Genomic DNA, 13,981 nt, shown 5'->3' with positions numbered 1-13,981 from the left:
GGAAGAAAGTGAAGTGGTCCTGGAGAAGATACTTATTTAAAGGAAGGTTTGATAAGGAAAGGCTGAATGTACTCCAGGGGGGCAAAAAACTCATCCTGGTTAGGGCAGTGTTGTTGAAAAGGGTAGTTTGAGCTAAGTAACAGAGAGTCTTAAGGGCTGACTAAGGAATTTTGCCTTTGTTTTTTACTTCTTTAAAAGCCATTGAAGGTTATTAGCAAAGGAGCAGTGGTGTGAAACACTGATACTTTATAGCTGATCTCCTCACGGTGCTTGCGTATCCTAACAGAATGTTGTTAGGCCAGGCTATATTTTGGACAGTGGCTGAAAATAAATAATAGCTGTATACTATTGATTATATGACTGTACCACAATGTACAGTCTTAATCTATATTTTTAAAGCATTTTCCCCAATTTTTTTTAGCATTAAAAGCAATATTGCAATAGGCATTCTTGTGTGTAAACCCTTGTACACATGCCTAATTATGCTGGACAAATTGATGGGTCAGAGTATATAAATATTTTATTTTTATTTATTATTATTTTTTGAGACAGAGTTTTGCTCTTGTTGCCCAGGCTGGAGTACAGTGGCACAATGTCAGCTCACTGCAACCTCCACCTCCTGGGTTCAAGCAATTCTCCTGCCTCAGCCTCCCGAGTAGCCAGGATTACCAGCATACGCCAACATGCCTGGCTAGTTTTTGTATTTTTAGTAGAGACAGGGTTTCACCATGTTGGTCAGGATGGTCTCAAACTCCTGACTTCAGGTGATCCACCCGCCTTGGCCTCCCAAAGTGCTGGGATTATAGGCATGAGCCACCGTGCCTGGCCTATAAATATTTTTAAAGTGTTCTGATCTATATTAATTACATGCCGAACTAGGTGTATGATTTTTTTTTTTTTCTGAAACATTCGCAGCTCAGTATTCTTACAGATTTTGGTTATTTGTGGGAAAAGGCTATTTCCTTATTTGATGTTTATTTCTTTGAGAGTTTACTTCTTTGATAAGGTTAAACTTTTTCACATACATATATGCATAGTTTATGTTTTTTGTTTTGAATTGCTTTTAGCAGTTTAGTTTTGAATACTCCATTGGGAGTATTCATTGTTTTCTTACTGTTTTGTAAAGGCTCTTTTTGTATTCATATATATACATATATTTGTCATAAGTGCTACAAATTTTTTGTGTTTGCTTTTTAACTTTGTTTATAAAAATTTCTGATATATATTAGTTTTAAAAATTAGTATTTTACAAGCTTTTCATTTATGGTAATGTGGCACTATGTTAAAAAATGTCCCATCAGCCCAGCTCTTTGGGAGGCTGAGGTGCTTGAAGGCAGAAGTTCGAGATAAGCCTGGGAAACAAAGCAAGACCCCTGTCTCTACAAAAAATAAAAAATAAGTTGGATGGGGTGTCGCATGCCTGTAGTTCCTGCTACCTGGGGGGCTGAGCTGGGAGGATCACTTGAGCCCAGGAGTTCAAGGCTGCAGTGAGCCATGATCATGCCATTGCACTCTAGGCTAGGTGACAGAGCAAGACCCTGTCTCTGAAAAAAAAAAAAATTCCCATCAAAAGACTATATAACAACTTATATTTTCTTCAAGTATTTTGTGGTTTCTTTTTTTAAAAAAATTTAAATGTAATACATCTGGAATTTATTTTAATGTAAGATGAAGGCAGGAACCTAATTTTATCCTCCCTCCTTTCCTTCCTCCCCTCTAATGATTAGCTATTTGTCTTAACCCTATCTATGCCAATTTCTGCTGATTTGAATTATGTCATGTTTATCATACCTTAAATCTTCATCATAATTAGGTATAGTTCTGGTCTTTTTATGCTGTTTCATTGCTTTGCTGCCTATTGCTACACTAGTATTAAATTGTTTTCATCAATACACCTTTATAATAGAATTTTGTATCTGGCAGGCAAGACTCTCCTTGATTTCTGTCCTTTTCAGACCTTTTTTGTTTTGGGGGGAGTGGTGGGGTCCCATTCACTCTTCATATATGCTTATATTTCCCAGGTAAACTTTGTAATTATCTGACAATTTGTAAGCAATTCCTAAGATATTTCGTTTGACATTGTATTAAATGTATACATTAATTTGGTGAGAAATGGAACACCTAGACTATTAAATATTAGAATCCAGTAAGATGGTCTATCTCCCCATACATGTAAGTTTTTTTTTCTTTAGGCCATTATTAACATCTTTTAGTTTCTTTACATATCCTACAAATGTGTTAAGTTTATCCCTATGTTTCTTCTATCTTTTTTTTTTTTAACATTGTTAAAGTGAATAGGATTTTTCCCATTATATTTTTAAACTAGTGGTTTCTGGTAAATAGGAAAGCTGTTTATTTAGGACATTTCCCTTTTTTTTCCTAAGCTTGTCTTCCCTTGGCTTTATGACCCTTCTCTTTTCGCGGAATGCCTCAGATCTCACCTAGGGAAGCAATGTGGAGTAGCAGAAAAAGCTTTGGTTTAAAATCATGTCTTTGACTCTTGGTTCTGTATCTTAGAAATTGCATGACCTTGAACCAGTTAGTTAACTGGTTCTGAATATCAGTTTCTTCTTCTGAAAAATTGGGATCATAAAACCAACCTCATGGGTTTGTTGTGAGGATTAAATGAAATAATATGTGCTACACTTACTAGGTTCCAGTCCCTAGCATGATGCACATATAAATGCTCAATAAATGTTTGTTGAATAAATACTGTTAATAGAGAGCCACAATCTCCTAAAAGTATACCATGAGCATTTGTCCCTTGTACTTTTTAAGAGAAGAAGGTAACACATTATTAGATAAAAGGTCACTGAGCAAATTTTAATCTGCAACCTGGTGCCATGAATGAACAAACTGGGAAGTAAGAGTAGGGAGGCTTCCTGTCATGGAGGTGGCTACATAAATGGAATAATTCCAGGGGACTCAGAAACCTACTGTTCATACCTGTTTCCCAGCCATTGGCCACAGTGTCTGAAATGAAGTCGAGAGCCTGCTGTTGGGCCAGACAGCATTCTCCCCTTAGGTTATCTTTGAAAATACAATCACATTTGGACACAATATAAATCAGTTTATCAAATCACTTTTTTTTTCTGTAGAGATGAGATCCAGGCACCATGATATTTCTGGTGCCTATGGAAAAGGAAGACACAAAAAATGGAAAAGGAGGATTTCAAAGATTAATTTTGCTTGCATGACATTTTCCCCAGTAGTTGCCTGGGCAAGGGAACTCATTTGCAAATGATGATCTCTCATTTTCAGTTGAGGGTATTTCCTATTAGTCAGTTATCATTATGGCTTATAAATATGTCCATTGTAAGTTTGCTAAGTATACAGCAATTCCCCAGAGGCTGGTTAGTCCTTGGTAAGTTTATGAATTTAACAATTTCAGGAACACGGGGTCGAAAGGTAAGGTACAACAGCCATGAGGTTGGAAGGAAAGAGCTAACACCCTGTGTCTTACCATGTTAGTCACTGAAAGCTATTGTTTGATTCCTATGGAAAGTGTCTTCTTAAAACAAATCTTCTCTGAGAATTGTCTTTCCACTGTTGCCTAGACCAGTTAAGTATACAGGTCATTTTCTTGTTCTTGACAGAGTTTTGGGAACAGTAAATCCTAAGAACCCCAGAGAATCTTGAACTTTCTAATAGGAGCTTCAAGTTTTCTGTTTTTCTGTCCTGAACGGGAAATAATTTTACAGTTATTAACTTCAACCAGTGAAACACCAAAAATGCTTCACTAGGAACATGTCCAATATCAGTGATCACATTTAAAAATCCTAAGTGAACAATTACATAAATTATCTAAGGACTCTTCTAATGTCTTACTTTCCTGTCTAACTGACACCAAAGAATAAAAATCTAAACTCTTCTTTCTCCAGTGCTGTTTTTATTTCTGCTACCAGTATCCTCTTCTTGGCAAATCAGAAGTCTTCCATCCATCCATCCATCCTTCCATCCATCCATCCATCCATCCATCCATTCTTTCACCCATCCAGTCATTCAGGCGATAAGAATTGAGAACATACTTAAGTGCACATTAGCTAGCTCTATGCTAGGTAATGTAGAGGTACAAAAAGCAGAATAAAATACTATCCCTGATCTCAAACTATTTACATTTCCCATAGAAAGACAAGACATGCTAAGACTCTGTGTCTGTTTCCTTTCACAGAAAAGTCTCTCAAGAATTGTCTGTGCTTGCAGGTTACATTTTCTCATTTCTCGTTATCTCCTCAATCTACTCTAATTGGTCTTCTGTCTCAACACTCCACTCAAAGTGCTCATCATATTTCCAAATCCAATGGTCACTTTTCTGTCCTTATATTATTTGACTGCCCAGAAGTTGATGACTGCCTCGCCTCTTTGACACCCTTCTTCTCTTGCCTTCTATGATGCTTCATCTCCTGGCTTTCCTCTCCACCTCATTGGGTGCTCAGTGTTACTTATTTTGCCAGTTTCTATTCCTCTTATAACCATCTAAATGTACACCAGAGTCCTAGGCCTTCATTGCCTCCTTATCTTCACCTACTTTGAGTATCTCATCTACTCCCCTGGCTTTAAATACTATGCATTTGCCAATGATCAGATTAATTTCCTTTTCCCTTACGTTTCTTATTTATTTATTGAGACAGGTTCTCACTCTGTCACCTAAGCTGGTTTGCAGTGGCGAGATCTTGGCTCACTGCAACCTCCGCCTCCTGTACTCAAGTGATCCTCCCATCTCAGCCCCCCAAGTGGCTTGGACCACAGTCATATGCCACCATGCCCAGGTAATATTTTGCATATTTTGTAGAGACAGGGTTTTCCCATGTTGCCCAGGCTGGTCTCAAACTCCTGAGCTCAACTGATCTGTCTGCCTTGGCCTTCCAAAGTCCTGGGATCACAGGCCTGACCTACCACACCTGACCCTGTCCCTTACCTTTCAATGGGCTCCACTCACCTGAAATCTCCACTGGGATGTCTAATAAGCCTCTCAAAATTAATTTGCAAAACAAAGCCTGTGATTCTCAATCTCCTTTATCTCAATTCACAGCACCCATTTATTCAGTTGCTCAGGTACAAACCTAGGAACCATTATTAATTTATTTTCTTTTTTTTACTCTCATATATGATCCATAAACCAAACCTATTATAGACTCTACCCCCAAAGTAGAGTGCCACTTTTATTTATTTCTACGACTACTATCCTAGTCTAAGCTACCATTATCTCTTGTCTGAGCCACTGAAATAGCCCCTAACTTAGTTTACTCCTACCTCATTATAGTTAATTCTCCAGAATTATCTTTTAAAAATACAAATCACACCTCTCACCCTAGTGCAAAACCTCCAGTGATTTTTAAATCCTCTTGGAATAAAATCTGGTTGCCTTATTATGACCTATAAGAGACTATATTATCTGGCTCTACTTATAATTCCAATCTCAGCATATAACAGTGTTTTCCTCTGTGCTTAGTATGCTGCAGGCACACTGGCCTTCTTTTTGGTCCTTGAACAGGCAAAGCTTGCACCCAAGGGCATTTGTATTTGCTATTCAGTCCAAAAGTTCTGTCCCCACATCTTTGCACACCTAGCTTCTCGGTATCCTTCAGGTCGCAGCTCACATGTGGTCTCTTTCTTAGAGAGATCTTTTCTAACCATGCAAAGGTAAGCAGGCTTCCTTCCAGTGCCTTTTCGCTGTCCATTACCTTGTTTCATTTTTTTCACAGTACGTACCATTGTCTGAAATCATCTTGTTAAATGATTTGTTTATGTATTTATTGTCTACCTTTCCCTCTCTGGAATGTCAATTCTGTGAGATCTAGGATTTTATGTGTCCTATTCACTGCTGTATCTTTACTACTTAGAATGATGTTCTTCACAGAAAGCCTCAAAATATTTGTTCAATGAATGAATAAATGAAAGATTCTTTAGAAGCTTCTCATTACATTTAGGGTAAGGTCCAAGATACTACATAGGTTTTAGAAGCCAATCCTTGCTGCTTTCTCTAGCCGTATTTTTCACCACCAGATCCCTTCTGAACTCTGCTTGGCTTTGACTATGTAGTATTACTTTTTACCATTTCCGTACTTTTGCACGTATTGTTCTTTTCCCCTGGATGTACTTCCTTCTCTGTACACATCTTTACCTGGATAATTTCTACTTATCTTTTAAGTCTTAGCTTAGAGTCCACTCTCTGTGGTGGTGGTTGGTAATCTTGCCAAGCTGCTTCCCATCAGATCAGGAAGATTGGAGTCTTCATTTAGAAAGTTCAGAGGTCTCCTTGTCTTCTTGGAATTGGATATTCCCATAATTGTCAATACCAATAAAAATGTTGGTGTTTTTGACTGAGACCATGGTGTGACAATTCTTAATGAAGGCTTGTTTTAAACCATCTATCACCATAGCAATCAGAAAATAGTTGTAGTGACTAATAGAGTAATAAAAATAAAAAGATTAGGCTAAACAAGGTGTTTCCTATGCAAACTGATGGCTTTTGGTTTCTCGCCCTTCTGCTCTTGGGTCTCTCAGATCTTTACTGTGTTTCCTAAGAAATGCTCATGTTTGGGAATTGGTCTCTAATCACCAAGTTTCGTGACTGTGTTTCTAGGTCAAAGCCAGACATCTGATTAAATTAAATTGGTCAAAAATCCTTGTTCTTGAGAATGGGAGTTTGTCATCTATAAAAGGCATTCCTTTCTTCAGGGAAGACAACTGAGGAGGAAAAGAACAAGAAAATATGATCATATTTATCATCCATGTGTGGCAGGTACCTGTAATCCCAGCTACTTGGGAAGCTGAGGCAGGAGAATCACTTGAACCCGGGAGACAGAGGTTGCAGTGAGCAGAGATCGCACCACCACAGTCTAGGCTGGGAGACAGAGTGAGACTCCATCTCAAAAAAAAAAATTTTTTTTAATGTTTCTTCCATGCCTGTAGGAAAAAGGCTCTGACGTCCTTTCTTCCACGTATCTCTCCTGAACTTCCAGGCTGGATTATGTTCCCCATGGTCTCTGCACTAATACTTCTATCACAGATATACCACATTATAATTATTTTTCTACTTGCAGATTGCCAAATAAAATTTCAAACATATCTATAATCTATATAAAATCAATAATATTTTTCTAACTTGGCATTTAATAAATAATTGTTGAGTTTGTTGAATGAATAGGTTATGGAAGAAAATTAAAGTAAACACGTCAACAAAAAATATCACAAGATCATATATAAGTAAATGTGATTTAAAGAGTCAGAAGAATGTCCTGAACTGCAGAGCAGTTAAATATCTCTGTGGGCTGAAGTAGCCAGGGGAGGCTTTGTAGGAGCACAGCCTTAGAGGTTGGATATAGTTGAGTAAACAAGATGGAGAGAGGACATTATTCCAAAAATAGTGGCAGAGAGGCACAGGCCAGTGAGCGGACAAGTACTGCAATGGAATTAGTGCCACAAAATCAGGTTAAAGTCCATTTAGATAGAGCTCTGATGCCCAGGCTAAGGAGTCAGAGCCTTTTTCCTACAGGCAAGGAGGAAACATTAAAAAAAAATGTGTTTTTTTTTGGGGACCGAGTCTCACTCTGTCTCCTAGCCTAGAATGCAATAGTCTGATCTCTGCTCACAGCAACCTCCACCTCCCAGGTTCAAGCGATTCTCCTGCCTCAGCTTCCTGAGTAGCTGGGATTACAGGTACCTGCCACACTACACTCAGCTAATTTTTGTATTTTTAGTAGAGACAGGGTTTCACCATGTTGGCCAGGCTGGTCTCGAACTCCTGACCTCAGGTAATCCACACATCTCGGCCTCCCAAATTGCTGGGATTACAGGCATGAGTCATCACACCTGGCCAAAAATTTTTAATTGTACAAATAATATGCTGTACATTCTGTTTAAGGAAAACTTATTTTGTCACGGAATGCAGGATGTGTTGAAAGGAGGAAAGAAGGCTTACATTTAAGCAAGGGGCTTTGGAAGGAGTATTGGGATGAGAAGGACAGCAGCCAGTCATAGAGAGGCAAAGCATTAGGGAGTTGATAATCCACTGATCCTTCACTTAAAAGTATAAACATACATGACTTCCTGGTGGTTTTTGTGGACTCATAATCCTATATTCGTCATATGCCTAGAGTGTCAAACATCCTTTATCATTTTAAAATCTAAACTCCAAAATCCTTCCTATTAGGGCCTTTCCTCCCTCGTTTCCTTTCCTCTCCCCCACCCTGCCCACTTTCTTCCTTCCTCTCTACTGAAGTATAATAGATATACAGTAAACTGAACATTTTAAAAGTGTATAACTTGATGTTTTGACATATGTATGCACCTATGAAACCATGCCACAAGATAATGAACATATCAATCACCCTCAAAAGTTTTCTTGTGCCCCCTTTTATCCAGTTGTCCTTTCTCAGATACTCTACAATACCTGCGCCCCCTCCATCACCAGTGGGCAAAATTTTTCTGCTTTTTGTTACTATAGGTTAGTCCTCATTTTCTAGAACTTCAATATAAATGGAATTATTCAGTATGTATTAGTTTTGTCTGACTTTTTCCATTCAGCCTTACGGTTTTAAGGTTCATCCTTGTTATGTGTTTATTCCTTATTCAACCATTTATTCCTTTTTACTGCTGCGTAAAAATTGTGGATATACCACAATTTGTTTATGTATTCACTTATTGAAGGACATTTAGGTTGTTTCCAGTTTGTGGCTATTACAAATAAGGCTGCTATAACCATTCATTGTATCAATATATATAAAGAGGTTTATTTTAAGAAATTAGCTGATGTGATTATAATGCCTAGCAAATCTTTAGGCTGGCTGGCTGACTGGAAACTCAGGCAGGAGTTGAGGCTGCAGTCTTGAGGCAGAATTTCTTTCTCTCCGGGAAACCTTACTTTTTGCTCTTAAGGCCTTCAATTGATTGGATGAAGCCCACCCATACTATCAAGAGCAATCTCCTTTACTTGAAGTCAACAGATTGTAGCTGTTAACCACATCTACAAAATACCTTCACAGATGCACCTAGATTACTATTTGATTCAGTAACTGGGTATTATAGCCTAGCCAAGTTGACACACAAGGCTAACCATCACCTTTAAATACAACTGTGTGGGGACACGTTTTCATTTCTCTTGTGTAAATACTTAGGAGTAGAGTGGCTGGGCTGCATGGTGGGTCTATGTTTAACTTTCTAGAAACTGATAAAATGGTTTTCTGAAGTAGATGCTTCATTTTACATTCCTGCTAGCAGTGTATTAGAGTTCTAGTTCCTCTAAGTCCCCTCTGTACCTTGGCTGTGAGAAAACAGCAAGTATGCCTATCAAAGAATGGGGAGAGAACAGAGTGATTTTTTTGGGTGGGGGCTGGAGGGCGGGGTTTGTGCTAAAGCTCACTCAAGCTCCTTTGGCATTAATACATATTCAATTATATATTTTGTTTGGAATTTGGGTTGAGTTTTAAATGAGCCTGCCTTTGATATATCACAATGTCTTCCATCCCTCACCATGGCCTTCGTTTATCTGCTTGTTGTAGTTATGAACTACGATTGTTTTCTCCCCACTTCTGTCTGTTGATTGGTGGAAAAATATCTGATGACTTTTGCTACAGTTCAGGCTAGGTCAAAGGCCATGTTTGCCAGCAGTCTCAGCTCACTCCAGTAAAATGAGGGGAGTGGGGGTTATTGGTCAGATTTGTTTGTTTCTTCTCCGCTCTCAGCTGTGTTCTTAGCTCTTAGCTTAGTACTCCAGGTTGGAGTGCGATAGCACAATCAATCATAGCTCATTGCAGCCTTGAACTCCTGGGCTCAAGTAAGCCTCTCACCTCAGCCTTGTAGGTAGCTGGGATTAAAGGTGCAAGCCACAGCATGAAATTGGTGAGGTTTTTTTTTTTTTCTTAAAAATTAATCTATCCATTTTCTCTCTTGGAGAGTGAAAACATATTGTTATCCAAAGTTTCCTCTTAGCGCAAGAGGCTGTGTTTCTGGATGAATAGCTGTTGAAGTCGCAGATATAGTTATATGGGGAAGAGCCCTTCCCTGTTTTCAGTACTGCTTGCCTTTCCTGTTTCATTTCTTTTGCTCATTTCATTTACGAAGGGGGAGGAAAGTTCTCTGAGCTTATACTTGCATAACTGTCATTTTCAGTAGTCTTATAGCAGATATTAACAAAGCTATCCACTAGGTAAACTCATCAACTTTATGACATTAAATTTTTGATATGTAGTATATCTGTTATTTTTAAATAATTACGGATTCACAGGAAATTGCAAAAATATATGCCAAATGTCCTGTGTTCCCTTTACCCAGTTTCCCTCAATGACAATGTTTTGTATAACTGTAGTCTGATATTGAAACTAGGATACTGATGTTGGCACAATGTGCGGAGCTTCTTCACATGTCACCAGTTTTATATGCTCTTGTGTGTATGCGTATGTAGACCCATACAATTTTATCACATGTAGATTCCTGCAATCACGACTACAACCAAGACATAGAATCCTTCAACCACAAGGCTCTTTTGTGCTACCCCTTTATATTTACACCTTACCCTTTTCTCACTCCCCATCCCAAAACACAGTACCCATTAATCTGTTCTCCATCTCTATGATTTTGCTATTTTTAAAATGTTAAGTAAATAAAATAGTACAGTATATACCATTTTGAGATGTGCTTTTTTTCCCACTCAGCATTAATTCCTTTGAGATTCATCTGTGTTATTGCATGTATCAATAGTTCTTTTCTCTTTATTGCTAAGCATAATTCCATTGTATGGATAGACCACCGTTTGCCTAAGCATTCACTCAATAAAGACATCTCAGTTTTTTCCAGTTTTTTATGAATAACACTTCTATGAACTTTCATGTATATGTTTTTGTGTAAAAAAAATGCTTTTTTTTTTTTTCATTTATCTGGGACAAATGCTCAAGAGTACAATTGCTGGGTTGTTAGTACATGTTTAATTTTCTAAGAAACTGCCAAACAGTTTTCCAGAATGGCCATACCTTTTCACAGTCCCACCAGCTTTTGGTCATGCCTCTCTCCTAAGCTCCGGAACGTTGCTTCCAACTGCCTCTTGGATAAATGCGCCTGGATGTCTCACATCCGGGAACTCAGAGTGTTAAAACTTGAGCTCATTATTTTCCCCTAGACACCAATTATTCCTTTTTTATTTTCCGTCTTTATTAACGAAAGTGTTTACTGCCTAAGCCAGACACTGAGAGCCACCATGTATTCCTCTCTCTCTCTCACCTATTCCCATGTTTAATCCATTATTTGGATTGGTCCATTTTATCTCCATTTTCTCAAATACAGGAAAAGACAGATCATCATCAACCAGCAATTGTGACTATCTACATATTCACATAAGGATTTCCCAACTTGGGGTATTTTTGTCAAGTTGAGACCAGGCATCTTGGAGTTAGTAAGTATAGTAATGTTTAAGGCATAGATAAGTAAAACAGACTAACTGGTCACATATAAGCAGCACTAAATTGCCAAGTGAACTCAAATCTCTGTATGGAGTAGCAGATTGCAAAACATAGACCTATTCTGGGGAAAGTTCTGGACTTGGGGCTGTGTAGAAAGTGCAAATGAATTCTAATGTATTTATGAAACAACTTATTTTACCAGTGTGGACACTGTCAATTAATCTTATATAGCAGAGTGTGCTGGCTTGGATCCACTATTAGTTGTAATATTTTATAGAATAGTCCTTAAAAGTCACCTAAGGGTCAAGTTAATCATAATTGTGCCTTAGTGGCTTTGTTACTAAGAAATCTTAGCTACTAGGATTTTTGAAGAAAATTGTCAAGTTCCTTGTGAGATAAGCTAGAGCATGCTTGTTCCTGGTCAGCACTTTGGGCATTCAATAGAATTTCAGGGCCATTACTCACTATTTTTACTAGCTACACTTATGTCACTAGCTACATGTATGTCACCTTCATGACTCCAGACTCCAAACTAGGTCTTTCTGGCCAGAGGAGCAAATATCTACCAACATAATTCTCAGAGACGTGACATAATACTTGTGAAACTGTATCCTGAAATAAAGGCCTGCCAGTGCTGAGAGGTAATATAAGGAAAAGGGGAATCCAGAGGCAGGTGCCAATCCTTTTAGTGGCTCCCTGGAGATCACGTCTTCCTGTCTTCTCTTCCAGTTGGATAGCCAATTCTACTTCAAGTGGAATATCAGCCGTTGGCCGTTTTGCTATTAGTATAAATGATTATTAAGTTGTTTGTGTTAAAAGAATCACTTAATATCATGTCCCTAGGGACTCTATAGTGTGACTGCTTGGCATAATTGTAGGCAAGGAAGCCAACCTGGCTTCCTAACAATAGGGAATATATTCAGGAAATTCCCCATTTAAGCTCATTTCCAACTGGCTTTGTTTAGCTAGTGCTGTGGGACATCAGAGTCCTTGGAAGTCGGAGCCATTGACACTTACTTCTTTCATCATGATCCAGGTTCCATCAGGTTACTGTGACTGTCATCGATAGCCTCCAAGGGAAAACAACTCACAAGAGTCAGCCTGGGACATATGAGAAAGAGATGCCGGTCTCCTACCTCTTGTTTCCTCACTTGAAGTGCAACCCATTTCCAACCATCTTTTCTTTCCAACTACTCAGGGTCCTGCTTTGATTTTTCTATGCACACAGCTGACATATGCTGGGCCTAAGAAAGGGAGGCTGCAGGACTGGACATGCTGGTTTGCTAGGGAACCAGTGAATCCTCTGTGAAGCTTGTCCAGTGAAGACCCAAATATTTACAAATTATCAGGAAAGAACTCATTCTCTTTCTCTCTGTATATTCTGTCTGTATTGGCTTTCCATTGCTTCAGTAATAAACTACCGCAAATTTAGCAGCATACAATAAAACTTTATTATCTTATATTTCCATAGGTCAAAAGTCTGAAACAGGTCTCACCTGGCTAAAATCAAGGCATTACAGAGCTGTGTTCCTTTCTGGAGGTTCTAGGGGAGAATCCATTTCCTTGCTCATTTGAGTGGTTGGCAGAATCCAATTTCTTGTGGTCAGAGGACTGCTTTCTAGCTGGCTGTCAGATGAGGGCTTTTTCCTATTTCTTAAGGCCACTCATACTCCTTGTTTTGTGGCCTAGTTCCTCTATCTTCAAAGCCAGCAACAGTGGGTAGAGTCATTTTCATGCCCTGAATCTCTTTCCTTTTTACTCTGTCTCATCTCTCTCTAACCCAGCTGGGAAATGTTTTCTGCTTTTTTAAGGTCTCATGTGATTAGATTGGCCCTGGTTAATCCGGGATAATCTTACAATCCAAGGGTCTGAATCCTTAATCACATTAGCAAAGTCCCTTTTGACATGAAATGTAACATATTCACAAGTTCTGGGGATCAGCATTTGGGCATCTTTGGGTATCAATGATCTGTCTACCATACTATATATAGGAATAGGATTCATGTATGCATTTATTCAAAAAACATTTATTGAGTGCCTACTATATACCAGACAATTTGTAAGACACTGGATGGATGTTCTGTTCTATCTCACTTGAGAACAGTGAGAGGTGATAAAGAGTTTGTGCACTGAACAAATTTACTGACTGAATTTTCTCTTGAGCCACACATTGTCCACAAGGAGAAAAGGCCTGGGAGGGAAATGATAACAGGATTCATTTCATTTTTCACAGAGTAGGGGCTGGGCACAAAATGAAAAATTAACGGTATGAAAGTGCTACTACAGAGGTCCTCTTAACTGAGAAAGAATCAATTCACGTAACAATATATAACAGCTTTTGATATGTGTCATGGTATCATGCTAATATATATAAATATGGTTTGTGCTCCATAAAAGCTTGCAATTTAGCTCAGGAGGTGTGGCATTTCAAATAGATAACAATACAGAGCAGTATTTCATATGATTAAAGCAACAGTCATGCTTCAGGCCACATGTGATGACCCATGCCTGTAATCCCAGCACTTTGGGAGGCCAAGGCAGGTGGATCACTCAAGGTCAGGAATGAGACCAGCCTGGCCAACATG

At 38.6% G+C, this 13,981-nt stretch overlaps 1 long non-coding RNA gene across 1 annotated transcript; it reads left to right on the top strand.

Annotated features, from left to right (window-relative positions):
• Window positions 1-11,038: 11,038 nt before the first annotated feature.
• Window positions 11,039-12,833, top strand: LOC101928628 (uncharacterized). The gene is made up of 2 exons (XR_241147.4): window positions 11,039-11,389; window positions 12,433-12,833. It is a non-coding gene; the product is annotated as an uncharacterized LOC101928628 (long non-coding RNA).
• The last annotated feature ends 1,148 nt before the right edge of the window (window positions 12,834-13,981 follow it).

Source organism: Homo sapiens, chromosome 1 (genome assembly GCF_000001405.40).
Source record: "Homo sapiens chromosome 1, GRCh38.p14 Primary Assembly".
NCBI classification, from domain to species: domain Eukaryota; kingdom Metazoa; phylum Chordata; class Mammalia; order Primates; family Hominidae; genus Homo; species Homo sapiens.
This window is presented reverse-complemented; position numbering and strand designations above follow the sequence as displayed.